This window comes from Homo sapiens, chromosome 3, assembly GCF_000001405.40.
Source record: "Homo sapiens chromosome 3, GRCh38.p14 Primary Assembly".
Taxonomy (NCBI): Eukaryota; Metazoa; Chordata; class Mammalia; order Primates; family Hominidae; genus Homo; species Homo sapiens.
Genome location: NC_000003.12, coordinates 99,315,707 through 99,338,033, shown reverse-complemented (window position 1 = coordinate 99,338,033; position 22,327 = coordinate 99,315,707). Strand labels below are relative to the sequence as shown.

The following is a 22,327-nucleotide window of genomic DNA, read 5'->3' as shown; positions in this document are numbered from 1 at the left end:
GACTAACAGTTAAAGGATCATTCACAGCTCCTAGGTAGAAGATAATAGATCCAAGGCATGATGACAGCTAATATCCTCTTTTGGTGGCTTTTTGGTCGTTCTTAATTGAACAAAATTACACAAGCCATTCTAGTATGAGCTTCGACCATGCAAAAAAATACTTCCTCAAGTACTTGTCAATGTAGTTGGCATGGTATTGCTCTTTTGGCTCTATAATGTAGAGATAGACAAGGAGCTTTTACTGGCAGAGTGCTTCATGAAAATAGTTTAGGTTTTTTTTCAAGTGCTAAATAAAAATAGCAGAAAAATGCATTCTTTTTATAAAAAAATAATGAGACTCCAGCTTAACTCTGGGATAAGCTATTTGGTGATAGACACAGTACCTGGACCGGGCAGAGGAGTGGAATCCAAAGATAAAGTTAGGAGAACGTACTTCAAGGGTGAGCTTTCCTCCTGGGCTGCAGAATTTATCCAGTAGCACATAAACCAACTGGAATCAATTGAAGTTCAAAATATATTACAGGAGAGTTTTCATGTTTTAACTTCAATTGCTGATTTACTTTCTGCCCTTTCTATTTTATTCCTTTCTACCTCTTATTTTATTTCCCTCTTCTCTTCTCTTTCTTCTATCCTTTTCATCTCATCTTCCAGTCAAATTATCTCATATTTTTCTCTGATGATTCTCTGCATCTGCTAAAATGAAAATATATTCTTATATTTTAAAGAGGACTGCAAAATGTTATAAAAATTTCTTTCTGTTTCTATAATGTGTTATTTTCAGGGGTGTATTTAGTTTATTCTTCTCTTCATTATCTAGGGAAATTTGTCCTTTCACTTGTGGTATCATAGTCTTTCATGGATCCCATGCTGTTGTCTGTTTATTTCTCCTTAAACAAGGAAAAATATACCCAGACCCAGTTTTCATCAACAGACCAGGTAAGCAAACTGCTTTTGGCTCTGCATGTTCTCTGGTTGGATGGTGGTCAAACTCTCTTCTAAGATCTACAGCCAAAGAGAGGTGATAAGTATGAACTGCAGTCCTACACCTAGTGTCTTTCAGTTTCTTGGACTGATTTGGGACTTTTCTCAATGTATAATATATGGCTAAAAGGGCTCAGAACATATAAAAGAACAAAAAGAACAAAAAACCTAAAGTTTTAAGTTTACATTGTTATTTGGGATCTTTTTGCTGGGAGTTAGATGGCAATGTGGTTTTTAAAATGTAGTCACGGGCCAGTTAGCACCAGATTGCAGAGCCTTGGGACTAATCCCAGATCCCCTGCATCACAATCTTTAGTGTGAGGAGGAGGAAGACCTAGAAACCTATATTATGTACAGGCTCCCAGGTGATTTATGTCTACATTGAGAACATCTGCAATAATGCTTTACATGTGGAGACTTCACTACCTGGGAGGCAGCTCAGTACTTCTTGCCCATCCCAGCTTCTCATTCAGTGAGTCCTCTCAATAGATGAGCTGTAGACCAAGAAATACTGATGATTGAAGGTATAAAGAGAGCCTGCATTTGGCCATCACAAAAAACTAGCATCACAGTGAAGAGAGCTGCCAGCTCTTCTGTCTGGTAAGGTATTTTGTTCCCTCCCTGGACCAATGAACAGACTACAGGGAGAGCTAAGGGGATTTTTAAATTATTGTCTGGTGAGTAGGTTTGCTTTATTTCTAGTTCCCCTCCTTTAAGCATTCCACAGATTGTAATTTTTCCTTCAATTCCTTTGGTCTAAAAATTAAAGGAAATTCTGCCCAGATTGTCACTGTGTTTCTGGAAGCTTTTACCTTTTTGGTGTCTACATCCTTAATTTTCATAAAAGGTTGGAAGTGGTTATGTTAAGTCTTATTAGCTCAGAAATCCTGATAGGTATATACAACTATTTGCTTGTCTTGGAGTAGAGTTGTAAAAAATTCACTTATACTTCTCACAATTTCATTTATATTTACAGATCTTTTTTAAATTACAGAAAAATACAAAAAATATATGAAGCTATGCCTATTCATTGAAATTAATGTTAACATTTTGCCATACTTATCAATTCTGCATAAAGTAAATAAAATATTAGAGATAAAGTTAAAGTTGCTTTTATTCCCCCTAACCATTCCCCTCTGCTCTCCCTATAAGCAACAAATATTATACCTGTAATAGTCTAATCTATTTAAATATACATATTATGTTATTTGTAATTTTATTAATATAATTTATTGCATGCTCTATATTCTGCCAGTTGATTGTTTTTCTCCTTAAACTTGTGGTTTGAGATCTAGCCATGTTGATATATTAAAATCTGCTAAATTTCTTTTATCTACTTGACAGTATTCCTTCCTTTGTATATACCTCATATTTTTCAACTCTCTGATTGCTTCCAATTCTTAAAATATTACAACAATGCTGTGATAAACATTATTGTTATATTTACTTGTGTACTTGTGTAAGAGTCCTTTTAGGTTGTATACTCATAAGTGTAATTTTTGGGTAATAGGCCTTGCCTGTTTAATACTACAAGATACTATCAAGATTCTGAGTTTTTGTTTGTTTGTTTTAATTTTGAACTACTTTTTACTTCTACCATTAAGGCATAGAATATTCTGTTCTTCTAAATCTTTGCCAAGAGTTGCTAAAATCCGATATTTAATGTTTGCCCAAATGATGTCATACTTGCAATAATTTTACCTCCATACAAACACGCCTCCATATTTAGTTCCCTCATGTATCCCAAGCACCTAGAACAGTGCCTATCTCAGAAAGACTCCATAAATATTTTGTTGAATGCTGCATATATTTACTTGAAATTCAGCATTTTCTTCAGCAAGTACGTATTTACTTGCTATTCAGAATTTTTCTGTGTATTTCCTGATTAATTTCCTTTGCTCATTTTCTATTGCATTGTCTTTTTCTTATTGATTTGAGGAGCTTGTTTATATATTCCATCCACTAATTTCTTGCTGTATATGTTGCAGACATCTTTATCCTATTGTTCTTTTTTTAATCAATAGATTATTTAGCTGTTTTAGGCTTACACAAAAACAGAGAGCTCCCCTATACCCTCTCAACCTATCCTCTACTCAAGTTTTCTTTATTATTAACATGTGGCATTAGTGTGGTATATTTATTATGGTTGATGAACCGATGCGGATACATTATTATTGACTAAAGTCCATAGTTTACATTAAGAATCACTCTTTATGTTGTACTTTCTATGGATTTTGAAAAATGTATAATAAGATGTATCTGCCATTGCAGTATTATGCAGAACAGTTTCACTATCCAGAAGTCCTCTGTGCTCTTATTTGTCCTTCCCTACCTCTCTCCAAACCCTTGGCAATTACTGATCTTTTTACTCTTTCCATAGTTTTGCCTTTTTCCAGAATGTCATATTGTTGAAATCACATATCATGTAGACTTTTCAGACAGGCGTCTTTCACTTAGCAATGTACATTTAAGGTTCATCCATGTCTTTTTGTGGCTTATTAGCTTATTTCTTTGTATTGCTGAATAATATTCCATTTTATAGATGTACCACGTTTTTTTTTTAATCCATTCACCTATTGAAGGACATTTTGGTACAAGTTTTGGCAATTATCATAAAAGCTGCTTTAAATATTCATATCCAGTTTTTTTTGTTTCTTTTTTCTTCATGACACGAGTTTAAGGTAAATATCAAGAAGAATTATTGCTGGATCTTTGGGTAAGTATGTTTAGTTTTATAAGAAGCTGCCAAATTATCTTCCAAAGTACTGTACCATCCATCATCTTTTAATTTTTATCATAAGGAAGTTTTACATTTTGACTTAGTTGCATTTTCTTCATGGTTTATAATATTTGCTTTATAAAAAATTTATATTAAGCTGGGTTCAGTGGCTCACACTTGTAATCTCAGCACTTTGTGAGGCCAAAGTTGGAGGATTGCTTGAGCCCAGGAGTTCAAGACCAGACTGGGCAACAAAGTGAGATTTGTCTCTAACAAAAAAATTAGCCAAGTGTGGTGGCGTGTGCCTATGGTCTCAGCTACATGGGCGACTGAGGCAGGAGGATTGCTTGGACCCAGAAGGTCGAGCTGAAGTGAGCCGTGTTCATGTCACTGCACTCCAGCCTGGGTGACAGAGCAAGACCATATACTACTGCCTGCAAAACAACCCTAAAAAATAAAATGATGTTATAAAATTATAAAGTACCCTGTGAAATCTCTATGAGTAACAGTTTTAAATTTTATTTTTATAATAATTTCTTGAAACTGGTATTCCCAGCCTTCTACATCCTGTCCTGAATCTAATGCTTCCTTCTTGTCTTCATCATAACTTTTCTATTTAGGCTACATCAGTCTTCCAATTGACACCAAAATACATCATAAGGAGCCTCACTTCTTGCCTCTGATCATGCTTGTTCCCTTGCCTGAAGAGTTCATCTTTGTTTCCAAGTTCAAATTTTATTTCTCCTTAAAAATTGAAATAAGTTCAAGATTCCCACTTATGGATTCTCTTAAATACCTGAAAGGACCAGTCATGGAGAAAAATGCTTCATCTTTGGGATTTTCTCCATGGTAATTCATTTGTTTATATGTATACATATATATATATATACACACACACACACACACACATATACATATACATACATATATATAATGTATATATATATAAAAGTATATATAAAGTATATATATATACTTTTAAAAGTTTAATTTTTTGGCACTGCAACACAGGTATCATTTGTTTATATATTGTAGGAACTCTTGTTTTTCACATCTCTCCTAATTTATTCCTCCCTTGTAAGTCATGTGGTATACTGCCTAACTATTCTGGAAAAGCAAAACTCCACATTTTATCTCTTATTAAAAATCATGCTTGGTTTAGACATTTATAAGATGAAATAATGATGCTTTGTGGTAGCAGAGTATCTTCCACCTAATATCTATCACAACAGAGTGCTCAGTGGATAGTAGATTCAAATATCAACATACATTATTTTTTTTCCCACATCCGTGGTATTTCACACACACTGTGAGAATCCATAGCCCAGATGAGCCACAAGAGAACAGCCAACATTCCTGTTCTAGAGAAGCTTGTATTCTTGGCCTGGGTGCTGGCTGACTACTGTCAATTTAGCTCTGGTCTGTTCCCATATTCCAATAAATTTCCTTACCACATTCCATTCCTCCGACTTCTCCCTACCATGATCTTTCCACACCCAGACTCTGCCTTCTACATGAAAGATTCAAGATATGCAGAGCCATGGTATCCATCAAGCATTTATCTGGGCTAAAAAAATAAGATGATTTGAAAATGTCAGTATGCGTGATACTCAACTGGTTTTCCCAGCTGTGACAGGATTTTCCACAGAAGTGTATCACTGTAAAAAATTTGAAAATATTTATCAAAATTATCCTATCATCTCTAAAACATAAATGTTGAGGATCCCCACCCCCAACCTCAACAGAATGGCATGTGCCTGGATAAACTACAAAGTCTTTCCTTAAAAGATTGGACACATTTGCTAAGCAGGTGAGGAATTTGGAGGAAAGCATAAAACAGGCCACAGTCAGGATGGCAGGAAGGACAGAGTTCACCAAGATCAAATAACTTAAAATATTACAAAGCAGACACTGTCTCTTCAAGTTTTGCTATTATTCTATTGTTTTCCTCTCGAAAAATGCATGCCTGATGATGATAAGGATGACAATACGGTGATGGTTTTTAGGAAAGGGATATCACCAGGGTTACAAATCTTCATTAATGTGAAATATGAGACTTCATATTGATAAAATTATTGCATCATTGACTCATTTGCATATTTCTCAAAATTAGTTTAAATTACTAAATTTTTTTAAAAAAGAACATAAGTACACCATGGAGTTATGTATTTTATCCAACTTAGGATACAAAGCCAGATGCAGATGATAAAATTAGTATAAAATCAGAATTATTCTAAGTCTCTTCAGAAGGTGCCTACTGGCGATCAAATTAGCATCTCTCAAGTAGTCTAACACAGCTCATTACTTTTTCTCCAGCATAGGAATGTTACTTACATTTGTTTTATTTGTATATTCATATATTTATATATTTATATTTGGTTAAGCATCTGGCAGTTGATTTGCATTTAGATAGTGTAGAATTGCTTTATATATATATGTGTGTGTGTGTCTGTGTGTGTGTATATAGATACATACATATATTTTTTAAATAAAATCCAAATCTAGTAAGGAGAAATAGTGAATCTGATAAGGATATGCTTTATCTCGCAATCTTAATTAATAAGGAGAAGTTCACGCCTGTAATCCGAGCACTTTGGGATACTGAGGTGGGCGGATTACCTGAGGTCAGGGTTTCGAGACCAGACTGGCCAACATGGCGAAACCCCGTCTGTACTAGAAATACAAAAATTAGCCGGTCATGGTGGCACACGCCTGTAATCCCAGCTACTTAGGAGGCTGAGGCAGGAGAATTGCTTGAGCCTGGGAGATGGAGGTTGCAGTGAGTCGAGATCGTGCCACTGCACTCCAGCCTAGCCGACAGAGCAAGACTCTGTCTCAAAAAAAAATAATAATAATAAAATAAATAAGGAGAAATACTCACTGTATGAGAGATGCTCTGGAACTGAGACCAACAGGGCAAATAGCAGAGTTCAGACTTACATTATGCTCATGCTATAACATGTCCTTGAGTAGAAGAATGAATGGAATTGATGAATTTGGGTTTAAGTTATATTTGTTTGTTTTGGTTTGGTTTCTTGCAGAGTCTGAATGATTCACTTTATATAAATAGAAAAGTATATAACTTTACCACAAAACAGATAAACTTGTCACCAATAATTTTGGAGAATAAAAGTGTCTTTGTTTGATATCCATTTCTGCTGTTGACATCCAATAACAATATATGTCTGTGTCATAAATTGGCTTGAAATCAGTTATAGCTGCCTAATACCTGCCTACTTTTCCAATTTTCCTTGCTAGCTTCCTCTCATGCCTTCAGCTCCAAACTACTTTCTTCAGTTGCCCAAAAGACATGGCTTTTCTAGCCCTACATGCCTTTGTATGTGTGGCAGTCATTACCTCAGTGGTTCTGTGTGATCACTGCACTTAATACATATTTGAAATGCTGCATTTGTGCCAAATGACCTTTACATTCCTCTCTTCAAATTGTCTCTTTAAGGGCATTGTTTGTAACATACGTCTTTGCGTCTTCTGCATTAAAATAGACTCAGTAGCCACTCCAAATATGGTTGTTCAATAAATATATAAGACATATATATTTATGCTCAGGATGTTAGAAACCAAAAGAAAAGATAAAAGAGATTAATTTGGTGTGAGGAATTCATGCTCAAATACCCTTGTTTTCTCAGCGTATGCCAATTCTTTCTGTTCTTTTACATGTGTACACTCAAATAAAAGCCCTACTGTAGTCTTTCATCGGGTCTGATATTTGTAAGAGAAGAGAAATCACCATGTGCTTTCCAGGAGCATTCCCTGGATAATTATTGGTGCCTTTGCTGCAAATACATAGCAAATTCTGGACACTGTGTGGGTGTGCCAGTGGCCTGGCAGTCATCCTCCTTATCAGTTGAAACCACACAGTTTCATTTACAATTCAACAAAAAGCTCTAATTTCCCACTCGAACTAGGATGTGAGCCCAGTATTCATAGGCAATCTGAAATGGGGAGATAAACTCTGCTTTAACTTAAGATCTCAGGAAGGAGTGAGGCTGAGCCTACTAAATTTTAGAGGCAGAACACTGTGTGAAGAAGGGAAGATGTCTTTCCTACCCCACATCTGACATTTCCCGCAACTTTATAAGCTACCAACTGTAAAGTTAATATGCTATGGCTATTATGCCAAGGAATATACATTCCATTTTTTAAAAATTTATTTCTCACTTAGACCAACTTGTTCAGTATTTATGAAAATAATGCTTGCTTTTTTGCTTTATTCTGTGTATTTCTATTTTTCATGAATTAGATATATTTTTAATTTTAATATAAAATTGTAAAATATGTAATGTAAAATTCACCATCTTAATAATTTTTAGGCATAGAGCTCAGTAATGTTAAATACGTTTACATTGTGCAGCCAATCTCTAGGGCTCTTTTCATCTTCCAAAATGAAACACTGTCTCCATTAAACAGCAACTCCCCATTTTCTCTTGTTTTCCAGCCCATGGCAACCATCACTCTACTTTCTGTCTCTATGAATTTGAATACTCTGGGTAACCTCATGTAAGTGGAATCATGCAATATTTGGCTTTCTGTGTCTGGCTTATTTCATTAAGCATGATGTTTTCTCTTTTTTTAAACTTTTATTGTAGGCTCAGGGATACACATGCAGGTTTGTTATATAGGTCAACTGTGTGTCATGGGGCTTTGGTGTACAGATTATTCATCACCCAGGTAATAAGCATAGTGTCTGATAGGTCATTTTTTAATCCTCACCCTCCTCCCTCCCTCCACCTTCAAGTAGGCACCACTGTCTGTTGTTCTCTTCTTTGTGCCCATATATATTAATGTTTAGCTCCCACTTACATATGAGAATATGCAGTGTTTGGTTTTCTGTTCCATGTTAATTTGCTTAGGATAATGGCCTCTAATTCCATTCATGTTGCTGCAAAGGACATGATCTTGTTCCTTTTTATGGCTGCACAGTATTCGATGGTATATATGTACCACATTTTTTAATCCAGTCTACTACCAATGGGAATTTAGGTAGATTCTATGTCTTTGTTATTGTGAATAGGTAAAAGAAAATGCTTATACTTTTTAAATTTCAGTTTTTAAAAAGTAAATACTGCTAAATAAGAGTATACACATAACTTATATTGACAGAACCTATTTTAATTGTAGAATCATCTGGTTGAGAGTGATTTCAGAGATCTTATATTTTAAAGCCTATTTTGACATAAAAGGAATAGCAGCAATCCTAAAGAGGTGTTATGATTTCCTCAAGGTCACCCAGACTTAATTTAGTTCTTGGACTTCAACCCATTCTTCTGAGCTTTAGAAAGGTGGCTTTTATTTTAAAAGATGATGTTTTAGACATGAAGTCCTTGCCCATGCCTATAACGTCATCTTTTAAAATAAAAGACACCTTTCTAAAGCTCAGAAGAATGGGCTGAAGTCCAAGAACTAAATTGCGGCACTACTCACAATAGCAAAGACTTGGAACCAACCCAAATGTCCAACAATGATAGACTGGATTAAGAAAATGTGGCACATATACACCATGGAATACTATGCAGCCATAAAAAATGGTGAGTTCATGTCCTTTGTAGGGACATGGATGAAGCCGGAAACCATCATTCTCAGCAAACTATCGCAAGGACAAAAAAACCAAACACCGCATGTTCTCACTCATAGGTGGGAATTGAAGAATAAGAACACTTGGACACAGGAAAGGGAACATCACACACCAGGGCCTGTTGTGGGGTGGGGTGAGGGGGGAGGGATAGCATTAGGAGATGTACCTAATGTAAATGACGAGTTAATGGGTGCAGCACACCAACATGGCACATGTATACATATGTAACAAACCTGCAGGTTTTGCACATGTACCCTAGAACTTAAAGTATAATAAAAATATATATATATAAATAAATAAAGTAAAAGATGAGGAAATCTAGGATAAGATTTAAATAATAATTTGGTATGATAGAAGATTATTAAAATAATTTCAGGCCATACATTTGAAATGTTACACATTCTCTTCAGAGAGTTTGTGTATAAATAAAGTTGACTGACATTAGAAATGCTATTGGTGTGTAGCCAAAGGAAAACTACTATCAAATGTAGAGTTGTGTTAGTTAAGTAAATGAATCCAGTTAAGATGTCTAGATCTTCAAATAGCTCAGTGCTTGCTATCATTTTCCAAATCTTTTTTATTAACCCATTAATTTTTGAGAAATACATAAAGAGAAATGGCCAAGATTTTAAAAAGATGAAAGTAATCTTCTCAAGGAGATATTAATTTTTCCCAGGAAATAACTATTGCTAAAACACAAAACTTCTTTGCAAGTTTTAGTCATGTGCGATCTTTCTATTCCATAGCCTTAAAAGCCTGGCCTACAGGAAAGATCGTAATTGAAGGCCATGAGGTTTTATTTCCTTGACTTATACTCTTAGAGAATTTTATCCTAGAGTTGCCAACCAAGTCAGATATTAATATATGATTTAGCAATTGTTTTGTAGCCAAGAAACACTCTGTTGATTCTGTTCTTAACAGCTGGATTCACCACATAAAAAGTGATCAAAGACAATAGTTTATGTCTAAAATACACAGACAAAGATATTAAATTTAGTAATTTGTTTTAGAAGTATGTGTAAACTAGGCATCAGTCAAAATAATCAGTGGAAATTTCTTTTTATGCTCAGCTTTTTATGTTGGGCTGAGAAAAAAAAAAAAAAAGATGACCAGAAGTCTTTTTCCACCCTCTTGCACCCTTCCTTATCTCAAACACCTCGTGCCACTCCAGAATTTATAGAAGCCTCAATTATGAGACTCTACCAGACCCCAACTTCCTGTATTAATTCTCTTATCAAGACTTCTACTTCCCAAATTAAAATATTCTTCCCTGTATCTCACCCACTCAAAGCTCTTTTGATATAGAAGATAAAGCGGCAGCCCTAGACAGATGGTATGACTTCCTCAAGGTCACCCAACCTCTTTAGAGCTTTAGTCAGGTGTCTTCTATTTCAAAAGGTGATAAAATTTAGGATAAGAGTAAAACAAAAGTTATTCCTTAATTAATGTACTATTTTCTCATGTTATTCATTTGTACTTATGAGTGCCAAAGGTTTCTGCTGGGCAAGGGGGATGAAATATGTTTGAGATATCAGTAGATGTTAAATTAGACTACATAGGGATATTCCTACCTGCGGGTTGTTGTATTAGTCAAGGTTCTGCAGAGAAACAGAATCAATTGTGTTTGTTTGTGTATGTGTGTATGCATGTATGTATATATGTAGTAAATGCATTATTGCACTTGGCAAACTGGAGACCTGAGAGCTAATGATGTAGTTCCAGTTCAAAAACTGGCAGGCTCTAGACCCAAGAAGAGCTGGGTTTCAGTTTGAGGTGAAGGTGGAAAAAAACCAATATTCCAAGCAATCAGGGTTTAAGGAATTCTCATTTACTCAGCTTTTTTGTTCTATTCAAGTCTTCAATTGATCAAATGAGATCCACTCACATTAGGAAGGGTTATCTGCTTTACTCACTCTACTCATTCTTTTAAATATTAATCTCACCCAGAAACACCTTCAAAGACACACTCAGAATAATGTATGACCAAATGTCTGGGTACCCTGTGGCCCAGTAAAGTTGACACATAATTTCTTTTTTCATGATCTTATGTATTTATTGCATGTAAGTGACTTTCAAGGATCATTTTGCCAGTTGGATTTGTAATCTCAGGGGCAGTGATCCTAAGTACTGCTATCCTGGGGCTGGTGTCTTTAAAGTTGTGTGTTGGTTTTGATTTGTGTTGCTTCAGTTTTGGGGGAAGATCATCCCCAAGCTTCTCTCCAGTGCAGCTCGTGAAGAAGGCTCCCTGCATTACATTCACTGTAATGCAGTGACATTGATACTGACCCTTAACCACACAGCCAAGTATTTGTTGGAGGCAGATATTAAACTTTTCCAGAAATACTTTTGGGATAGGTCCTTTCTTGCCATGTTTGTGCATAGTGATTCTGGTATACAATAATGCACGCTCGAGAGAATGCAGGCATCAATTTGTCGGTATGGGAACAATCTATTTTGGGGAGTAGCACTTTCTTTTTTCTGTTTTTTTTTTCCCTCAAATTCTATTTTAAGTTCAAGGGGTACATGGACACATAAAATTAACCATTACACACATGGAAAAAGGATCAGTTTTCATCTGTGAGATTATAGACAGCAGAAATGGGAGCAACGGGCAAAACTCATGGGAGACTCATTTAAGCCTATTATAGGAAGATGTTTATAACAGGTGTGACTATATTAAAAAAAACTGTTCTGTAAGAGAATGAGCTTCCAGATCTTCAAGCTTAAGCTGAATGATTCTCTGTAATGCGTGCTTTAGAAGGAGTTTCTGCTCTGACTGAAGGTGGGACTGCCTGCTCCCCCCTCCGCCGCGAAGTGTTTCTACCCAAAGAAGTATGATGTGCTCAATATTTCGAAGGCCAGTCTTATTTTCATGTAATCTTGGCCAACTCTCTCTTCTGCATGTCACAGCTAGAGGGATCTCTTTAAATACTTATCTGAATGAGTAGATTTGTTAAGGAAGTTCTTCTAATAGAAGCTAATGAGAGAAAATAGAAGGGAAGAAGCCAAGCCATGTCTCAATCTCAGCCGTTGTCTAAGGTAGGGTAGAACAGAAATTACAACACAGAGCTGATGTCATAAACTGTGAGCTACCCTTGGAACAATATCTCCCAGCATGCTGCATCTCTGGGAAGAGCAGCTCCAGTTGCTCATCGACAGTCCTCTGAAGCAAAGTGTGGGAGTAAACCTTTGGGAGGACTGCATGGAGGAGTTAAGGGGTGGGAGCACAGAAAGAAACCACAAAGGGATTCTGAGAGGATCTAGGTATAGAATTAACACTGTTCTCATCATGTTTCGTTTTAGTCTGGGATGATATGAAACCTTGCAGACGACATGCATGGATCAACTCATGAGACAGTAAATCACTCAAAATCTTACTACAAAAGACAACGTCCTTATTTGCTTTTACAGAAAAAGGTAAATCTTCCTTGACATATTCGGCAGAATCTATGAAGAATTCATTCATTTATTCTTGAAATAAATATCAAGTAGAATCTCTGAACTAAAAGAAACTTCTATGTTGCAAAGCTTTTCTTTTTTCCAAATAATGTAACAGTTTAGAAAACTTGAGAGGTGGGGAAATGTGCTTTCATTCAGTTCTATGTTTTTCTGGAACAGAGCAATAAAAGTAAGATTGACATCTCGCTGACTGTTTAACTGCCAACATTGCCACCTGCTATCCTGAGGCAATAAGCAGCCTTATTGGCACCCTCGTGCCTGGAGAGAAAACCAAAAGATGATGAATAGCCAGTCCCTAAAATCAAACGTCATGCACAGCAGTGGCTGGCACAAGATGAAGTGCTTGCTAAGGAAATAGAATGGTGAATTGAAGCTCTCAGACCATTGATCAAACTTGTTTGTAGCCAGCCTTCAGTGTTTTGTTTCTGGCTGCTAGAATCTCACTACCCTTCTTGGTCTAAAGGAAGCCAAAGACCCTTCATCTGTTTATACAGACCATATGTAACTACAAACAGAACTGTACAAAGTTGTCCCTTTGGAGTCCAGGCATTCATGTACTTCCCCCATATGTAAGCCAAGAAATGAATGCATTCACTGTTTTTTATTCCCCTGTGAGATCTTGCTACAGATTTACTAGTGGTATGACTTAACCTGTATTTCCAACCTACATATGGAAGAAAGTAATAAAGCAAGTAGATAGTGTTATTGTTCACAGAAAATGAGACCTTTCTGACTCCATTCATGGATGGATAAAGACCTCTCCATAGACTCATCAATTTCACTTTACAGACGTACCTGGAAATTGATTAGCCCTTGGAGTGGGGAGCTGCACCTTGCAAGGTACACCTCAGAAGAAGTGGGAAATTTTAGTATTCATAGTTGTTAATGACAACAAGCTAATACTAGTAAGAGAGAATGTGTCATCATGGTAAGTCCTTCCATGAAACTCTCAAAATAAAGGTTATTTATTCAGAAGGGTTTGAGTCCACTTACTAATATATAGTTACTGCATCATATCACAATGCTCTCTGGCCCTTCTAGATGATTGATCCCTTCCTCTGTGCCAAATCTATATGTTCACATACTTTTATTGCTGTTATCATACTGTTTTATTTTACTATTATTAATTGAATTATTATTATTCATTGAATTATTATTATTATTATTATTATTATTATTAGAGACAGACTCTTGCTCTGCCACCCAGGCTAGATGCAGCAGTATGATCTTGGCTCACTGCAACCTCTGCCTCCCAGGTTCAAGCGATTCTCCTTCCTCAGTTTCCTGAGTAGCTCAGATTACAGGTGCATGCCATCACACCACCTGGCTAATCTATATATATTTAGTAGAGACAGGGCTTCACTGCATTGGCCAGGCTGGTCTCAAACTCCTGACCTCAAGTGATCCACCCACCTCAGCCTCCCAAAGTGCTGGGATTACAGGAGTGAGCCACCGCACCCAGCCCAATTTATTGAATTATTTTAGACTTTTAGGGCCTTGAGAGCAATGACTTCTGTCTTACTTACTTAACTGCATCTCTTCACATAGGACACATGTAATTGTGTTCAGTAAATATATATTAAATGAGTGAATTAATGAATGAAAAATATAAAGCAAGAAATTGGAAGAAATGAATTCTCAAACTCCTTTACAGCCTGTGATTGGCAGAATTCTAAGATGAGCCCCAAATGACTCGTGCTTGTGTAGTCTCCTTCCCTTGAGCATGGATGGATGAAAATATGATGAGCTATCACTCCTCTGATTATGTTATATTATATAGCAAAATAGATTTCTGAAGAGATAAGATTACTAATTTTAATGATGGAGTTTAATCACTGTAAACTTTGATTTTAATTACTGAAGATTTTGTAGATGTACTTAAATTTACTGATCAACTGCCTTTGAGTTAATCAAAACAGAGATGATCTGGGTGGGTCTGACCTGATCACCCGAGTCCTGTAAATTTGACTCTAGAGGTCAAGGACAGAAGTCAGAAATTGGAAGCAGCAGAGACCTTTTCTTGTTAGCCCTAAATGGGCACCTGCCATGTTGAGAGAGAGCCAACATGTTGGGGAATGGCAGATATCCTCTAGGAGCTCCTTCACATTAATCAAGAAGGGGCCTCCTAGACATCAGTCAAGAACACAGGGACTTCAGTGTTACAATCTCCGAACTGAATTCTGGCAACACTCTGAATGAGCCTGGAAAAGAACCACAAGCTTCAGGTGAGGCAGCATCCCAAGGCAACACCTTGATTTCAGCTATGTGAGACTCTGAGCAGAGAACTCAGCTGCGTGGTGCTAGATTCCTGACCCATGGAAATGGTGAGATTATAAATAAGTGTTGTTTTACAGATTGTGGCCAATTGTCACACAGCAATAGAAATTAATCCACAGTCCTAAAAACAATTATTTAATGGGCAATTTTAAATAATTTTTATGAAGTGGCCAAGAATAAACATATCTTTCATATGCTTCTCATGGCATTGTAATTTCTCCTGTTATGAAATCAGCTTCATGAGGTCTGGGAATTTGCATGTTTTTTTCATTGTTGTATCTTCATGGCCAACAATAGTGCCTGCACATGGTAGACTTTTCATAAATATTTGCTGAATGAATCAATGTTTTTTGAATTGGATTAAATTGCTTACTATATACTATATTATTGCTATACTGGTAGCAGTGGGAGTGGGTAGGAATGGTATAAAGTAGGGTCATTTTCCTTGAGGAATTTACATTCTGTGATTTTTTTCTATTATAAAATAGAGATTGATGCATGGAAAAGGACAATCTGACCAAGTCTGCCTTCCTTTCCCTAGCAGAAGATTGAGTGCTGTAGAGGAAATATCACGAGCACAAGAGTCAGACAAATTTGAGTTTGTACTCAGGTTCAGCGACTTACTGGCTGGCATTACATGGACATTCCCAGTTCCTCATCTGTTGATAGGGATTAATAATATCTACCTTGCAGAGTTTTTCTGAGGATTAGAAGCAATATGTGTACCTATGGGGTGATCAATAAGTAGAAACATTATTTAGGACTGATGATGACTTCTGGTATTTTATTCTTTATGTTTTCTTTTCCTCTTGAGTAAAATCAGTTTTTAATGTGAATTAGCAATTTTTTATTCCTCTTGAAAACATTATATGCATTATTTTAGCTCCATATTTAAGGGTTGTTCTTTTTTCTTTCTTTCTTTTTTGAGATGGGGTGTCTCTCTGTTGCCCAGGCTGGAGTGCAATGGAATGGTCGTAGCTCACTGCAAACTTTGCTTCCCGGATTCAAATGATTCTCCAGCCTCAGCCTCCTGAGTAGCCGGGATTACAGGTGGCTGTCACCATGCCTGGCTAATTTTTGTATTTTTAGTAGACATGGGGTCTCACTATGTTGGCCAGGCTGGTCTCGAACTCCTGACCTCATGATCTGCATGCCTCAGCCTCACAAAGTGCTGGGCTTACGAGCATCAGCCACTGTACCCGGCCAAGAGTTATTCTTTATAGTAGGCGTCTATTAAGGTTGACTTAGAGTTTAGTTAATGTAGAATGCAGGTCTTAATGGCTAATGATAGGTGCAGTAGCTTTCCACTGAGCATATTTCCATCACTCCACCTTCCAAATGTTGCCTGACCAGTACTGAAGACAACGGAGTTAGGAATTCCTCTAAGCCCTTTTGTTCTGTTAAGACATCCCAGTATAACAGTTTTACTACATTGTTTTTGTTGCAAAGGCAACACACTGTTGGCTCATACTGAGTTTGTAGCTCTCTAGATTTTGTTGATAGAAATGACTATTATTAAGCCAGGTGTCTCCTGTCTTGTACATATGAGATAATTTTGGAGACCACTATTATCTTGTTAGTTTCAGCCCAATATTCCAACCTGTCATAATATTTTTTTAAACTTGATTTAGCCATCCATCATATTAACTGTCTCTCCTAGCTTTGTGTTGGCTGTAGATGTGATAAGCAGGCCATCTTGTCCTTGTTTAAGTTATTAGCAAAAGTGTGGAGCACAATATATGAAAGTATAAAACCCTGCAGCATGTCACCAGAACACTGTTTCCCAAAGTATGTTCTTTAAGATACTAGTTCCATGAGATTCTAAAAACACCACATATGATCTGCCTTTTCTTGGAAAGTCTCAGTGCAGATTGCATGTTATAAACTGCGAATCTTGCAGTAAATAAAGGAAAATCTTCTTTAATTTCAATTAATCCAACATTTTCCAAGCTTATTTGTGTAAGAAAACCCATTTAACAGTTGTTTGGATTTATTTATATTAACATAATGCCATGTTCCTAGTTCACGGAATACACCCCCATCTAGCCCTAATAACATGCTTTAGAACTTTATCATGAAAGACACAAACTAATAGGTCTCTAGTTTCAAAAATTCATTTTATTCATTGTGAACTTTAAGATAAGGCTCCTTTTTTGTCTCCTTGCTATTCAATGTTATTCAATGTAAACATTGTGTTACTTCAAGTTGTTTTAATACTCTGGGCTACATTGATCTCCCCATTAATTTGTCTTATTTTATCTTGTGCCTTATTTTCCTCTTCTCCATATTTCTTCTTTTTTTGGATTGAATATCTTTCTCTATATATAAAAGTTGGAATAAAACAATGAGTTTAGCATTATACTAATGTTACACTGTCTCTCCCAAATAAATTTGATTCTACATGTTCTTTTCACTGTGGGAAGAGCAAACTTTAATTTTTAAAAAAATCATTTAAGTTCTGTATTTTGTATTTTGTTTTCCACAGCCTATTTTCAACTTGATGGTTTATGGAACTCTTATATTTTTATAAGAGTTTATGGTTTATGGAACTCTTATATTTTTATGGTTTATGGAACTCTTATATTTTTATTTTTGGCTATACACTGTTTATTCTGACTTTTGTACATGTCTTTTTAAAAATGACCTCATCCCAGACAGTACCTAGGGTTCCAATTTCTGTTTGTTTTAAAAAATGTAATCAGTAACTGTATTATCAAAATGTTATTGTTATTCTTTCATCTCCTGAAGCAGTCTTCTCTTTTGAATCTCTAGCCATGTAGTCATTCCTAATTTGTCTTACACTTTTTGAGGCCTGCTTTCCTAAAGTCCAGAGTAGATATCTGGCTGTCCCCCAGGATTGCTTTCCACAGCTTTATTATAAATTCCAAGAACATTGTTCACATTCTCCAAAGTTACTTTCACGTCCGTTGACTCAGTCAGTTTTCCCTTGTTGCTAAGAATTAAATTCAAATTAGCAACTCCTTTTGGTTATTTATGGACTCATTAAGAGATGAAATTATTAGCAAAGCAACCTCAGGGTTAGTCAGGTAACTTGATTTTCACATTAAATATATAAAGAGTACTTACTATGTGTCACGTAAGGCTCTTGTTAAGAAAAATATAGCAGAGAACGTGACAGAGAGAGGAGACAGAGGACATAATAAACAAAAAAAGTCAAAATAATTTCAGCTAATTACAGGTTCTGTAAACAAAGTAAATTACCATAATATGACAGAAAGTTATGGGTAAGGAGTTATATCCATTACATTAAATTAGATGCTTAGGAAAGGCCTCACTAAAGAAGTAACACTTAAGCTGAGAGCCAAATTCCAAGAGGGATTAAACCATAAAAATGCCTTAGGGTAGAATATTCCACACGGAGCAATAGCAAGTGCACAAGCCCCAAAGTGTGAATAGTCTTTGCATCTTCTAGGAAGAGGAAGAAGGCCAAAGAGCTGAACATAGGGAATCAAGAATGCAGTGGTGGGAATCAAGGTTCAAGAGTGGGCAGGAGATGGAAAGGCAGGGAATATTTCTCAAGTTAACTTTGACTCCAGATGAGGAATAGATGTAGACATGATCGAGAAAGGTGGAAATAAAGAACCCAACAAGGGATCTACTGGAGATTTCAAGAATAGGTATCTGAGGTCCTCCTTGCTGCCATGATTCAATTCTGCCATTTTTGTGATCCTGAGGTATAAATATGACATATGTCCCTCCTGCTGGACTCGAGAATGTTATGCATTCTCCCCAAACTAGATAATTTATTATGGCTCTCATTTTTTCTGATTAACTTGTTTTTCTTCATATTTTTCTTATATGGGTCGAGGTTTTTCACATAGTTCAGGCTTTCTTGATTTGTGATACTACTCCATTATCCCATCTCTTCAGATTTGTGTTTCATCAAACCAGACTAATAGTCTTGCTCCATTTGTGCAAAAATGTTACAAACGATGTCGTTGGAGTGGTGCCACACAGAGCCCCTGAACACTGACTAAGCATATTTTAACCATGAGTCACAGATTATGTCCTATTGATACTTTATACTTCTAAGGGGTTCTCCTGAGTTTCTCTAAATTATTAAGAATTTCGGCCGGGCGCGGTGGCTCACGCCTGTAATCCCAGCACTTTGGGAGGCCGAGGCGGGCGGATCACGAGGTCAGGAGATCGAGACCATCCTGGCTAACACGGTGAAACCCCATCTCTACTAAAAATACAAAAAATTAGCCGGGCGTGGTAGCGGGCGCCTGTAGTCCCAGCTACTCGGGAGGCTGAGGCAGGAGAATGGCGTGAACCCGGGAGGCGGAGCTTGCAGTGAGCCGAGATCGCGCCACTGCACTCCAGCCTGGGCGACAGAGCGAGACTCCGTCTCAAAAAAAAAAAAAAAAAAAAAAAAGAATTTCCAATTTTATTAGTTGTGTTTTGGATAGGAGGAAGGAAAGAAAATTAGCTTTTGTTGAAAGAAGTCTGGGGAAGAAATAACATATCTGGTTCCTTATTTAAATTAGCTAACCAATTTGGTATTGGAAAACACTTCAAGTGAATCATATAACCTCCACAAAGAACTCTAGTCAGTAGGCAATAACAGTTGCTTCAGGTCAGACACAACTTTGAACTAGCCAAAAATTATCAGGTTTTCTATGAGCACATTAGTTAAACACCAAACAGTTTTCCACTCATTCTTCCTTGCTCCATTGCTCCACTCTCCATCACATAACAATGAACTCACATAGGCTTCAAGTCCCTTATGACTATGAAGTTATAAGGGACTTATATGACTTAGACTTAGCGTCTTATATGACTCCAGAGACCTGGGGGTCATGTTAATTTGCTTTTCTCTAATGTATCTGGGTCCCCTATCATAGTACCAGTGAGACTTGCCTGCAACCAATTGTCTTCTCACTAGAGATTATTGCTTCTGTTACTACATGAAGGCAGTGGTCATTCTCCCAACTGCCTCAGTCAGTTTTACTGGACAGAATTTCACAAAATTTCCCCACAGAATAATGAGGAGAGAAAAAAGCACGCTCTGTTGTTGCCAAAAAAAAGGACAGAAAAAATATTTCTGTATCTTTAAAATAATCAATCCTAAAACAGTCATCAACATTATAGTCCAAGAAATTGACATACTGTTAAAGTTTCTGAGTGTTCTCTGCTATTACCTGACTTAGTTATACTAAAATATAAGCATCAAGACTTAGATTCTACTTCTGTCATGGAAAGCTGTGAGAGCTTGGGCAAGTCACATTTTCTCTCTGACCCTTAGGTTTCTCATTTGTAAAGATATTTCATTAGAAAATGAGCCCAGATGCTCCTTCCATTCTAAAGTTCCATTTTCTTTTATCAAGATTTGCCATTAAGGGAAAATATAATAGATTCAGTTTTGTGTATTATTTTCCCTTTTTTTTCCTAGCACAATAAAGGCCCCACAGCTTGGAAAATCTAAGATTCTGCGGAGCCACTTTCTTTAAAATTAGAATATGGTTCTTTTTTCCATGTTCAGCTCTGTTTCCTTGTCTGACCAAAGTACTCGTTTTCTCTCCAGTATGCTGCACATTAAAAAGTTCAGTGTGGCAGGAGGGAGGAGGATGAGGAGTGATTAGGAACATCTGGAAGAGAGAGCAGAGGGTAAATGATTACTTGTAGCTCATGCAGAAAAAGTTAGATTTAAGTGTTTCTCTGTTTCCAATCCTTCAGCTGCCATGAACCAACTCTAAAGGATTTTGAGTTTAGATTTAGAAAATGAAACACAAGTTAACATTTGGGACTGCAGATTTTTCATCATATAATCATCACATATTCAGAAGGAGGTCTTCTCCTGGCAGTGGACCTATGAGATTTATCAGTGACTAAAAGAAAAGAGTGAATGAGTGGTAGAAAAAACTTTAATCACAGCTAAGGGTTTGGAGTATTAACCAGTCTATTTAGAGCACCCACATTCAATCCACCCACACCATCTTTGCCTTGTATTTATCTAATCAGATGTATTTCAATTTAACATAGTTTTTATTAAGTTCACATTATATGTAGGAAGTCATGATTTATCCTCATTTCTCATCCAGAGAACAATGCCTTATTCAAAAGTTAAAGTGTGGATAACATAATTTATATGTGGTGCAGATGACTGAGAAACAGGTTACTTGGACACCATATTAGTGAGTCTGTCCATAAAATAGCACTTGTACTTTTTCATATATTTTAATAAATTGTATATGATAAAAGACCAAATAGAATCAGGGCTGATGATTCATGGTTTATATCAATGATTTCCTATATTATCATGTTGTCTTTTATGTGTGTGTGTGCATGTACATACATATCTGCAAATTAGGCAGAATCATTGAGATGTTAGATTGGAATAGATACAGTTGATTCTTGTTCATGATAGTTATGTTTTATAAAGTCTCCATGAATGCTGAATTTACTATTACTGAAACATTGTTTCTAGGAGAAATACAGGCTTAGGTTCTTGTGAGCCTCTTGTCACATTTTCATCAACTGACCAATACATAACCTTGTTTAATGTGTGTGTCTGTTTAACTTTCATATCCATATGGAAGTTAGGATACATATGGATGTTAGGCTGAAACATTCAAAGCCAATTTAGATGTAGGGAGCACAGAGGACACAGAGCTCTCCCCATGATAATATTCACTTCCCCAACCTTAGGCAGCACTGATATCCCTTTGCATGTTTTCCTGTTCCAATTATGTATTGATACCTAACAAATCACCCCAAAACTTAATTGCTCAGATAGTATCAATAATTTATTTTATTAGAGATCTAGAATTTTTCAGGGTTTGATAGGAATGACTCCTCTCTGCTCCACAGGGCATCTGTTGGAGGCTGGAGGATCTACTGTCAAGATGACTCACTCTTATGACTAGCAGGTTGGTGCTGACTTTCAACTTGGAGATCCGTAAGGCTATGGGCCAGAGCCTTTGGTTCAGCTCCTTGAGGGCATCTTCATGAGGTAATTTGGCTTCCTCACAGCGTGGTGGATGGGATCCAAGAGCAAATGTACTAAGAAAGAAGAAATGGAAGTTACCAATTTTTGGTTGCCTGGCCTAGAAAATTGAACGATGTCACTTTGGCATATTCTATGATTCAAGAAGTCACAGAGCCCAAATTTAAGGGTAAAGGACATAGAGCCCTTGATGGGAAGAGGGTCAAAAGGATTTGGGGGCCATATTTCCAAACCAACACAATCACAATGCCATTGACATTACCATTAAGCTTAAGCATTATACCCTACTACCAATGATTATAGTTATTCCTTATGACCATTTCTGAATATT

General features: G+C 36.5%; 3 long non-coding RNA genes and 1 pseudogene across 3 annotated transcripts in view; 3 read left to right on the top strand and 1 right to left on the bottom strand.

Moving 5' to 3' along the window:
- Window positions 1-359: 359 nt before the first annotated feature.
- LOC105374004 (uncharacterized) lies at window positions 360-8,196 on the top strand. The gene is made up of 3 exons (XR_924266.2): window positions 360-440; window positions 818-936; window positions 8,157-8,196. It is a non-coding gene; the product is annotated as an uncharacterized LOC105374004 (long non-coding RNA).
- On the top strand, window positions 8,188-21,925 carry LOC107986104 (uncharacterized). Its single transcript, XR_001740816.1, has 3 exons — window positions 8,188-8,218; window positions 12,597-12,710; window positions 21,861-21,925. It is a non-coding gene; the product is annotated as an uncharacterized LOC107986104 (long non-coding RNA).
- On the top strand, window positions 11,482-11,657 carry ARHGEF28P1 (ARHGEF28 pseudogene 1; annotated as a pseudogene).
- Window positions 21,779-22,327, bottom strand: part of LOC124909399 (uncharacterized) — a 38,409-nt gene continuing 37,860 nt past the window's right edge. The window contains exon 2 of the long non-coding RNA XR_007095979.1: window positions 21,779-22,052. This is a non-coding gene — a long non-coding RNA (uncharacterized LOC124909399). The remainder of the gene's footprint in view (window positions 22,053-22,327) is intronic.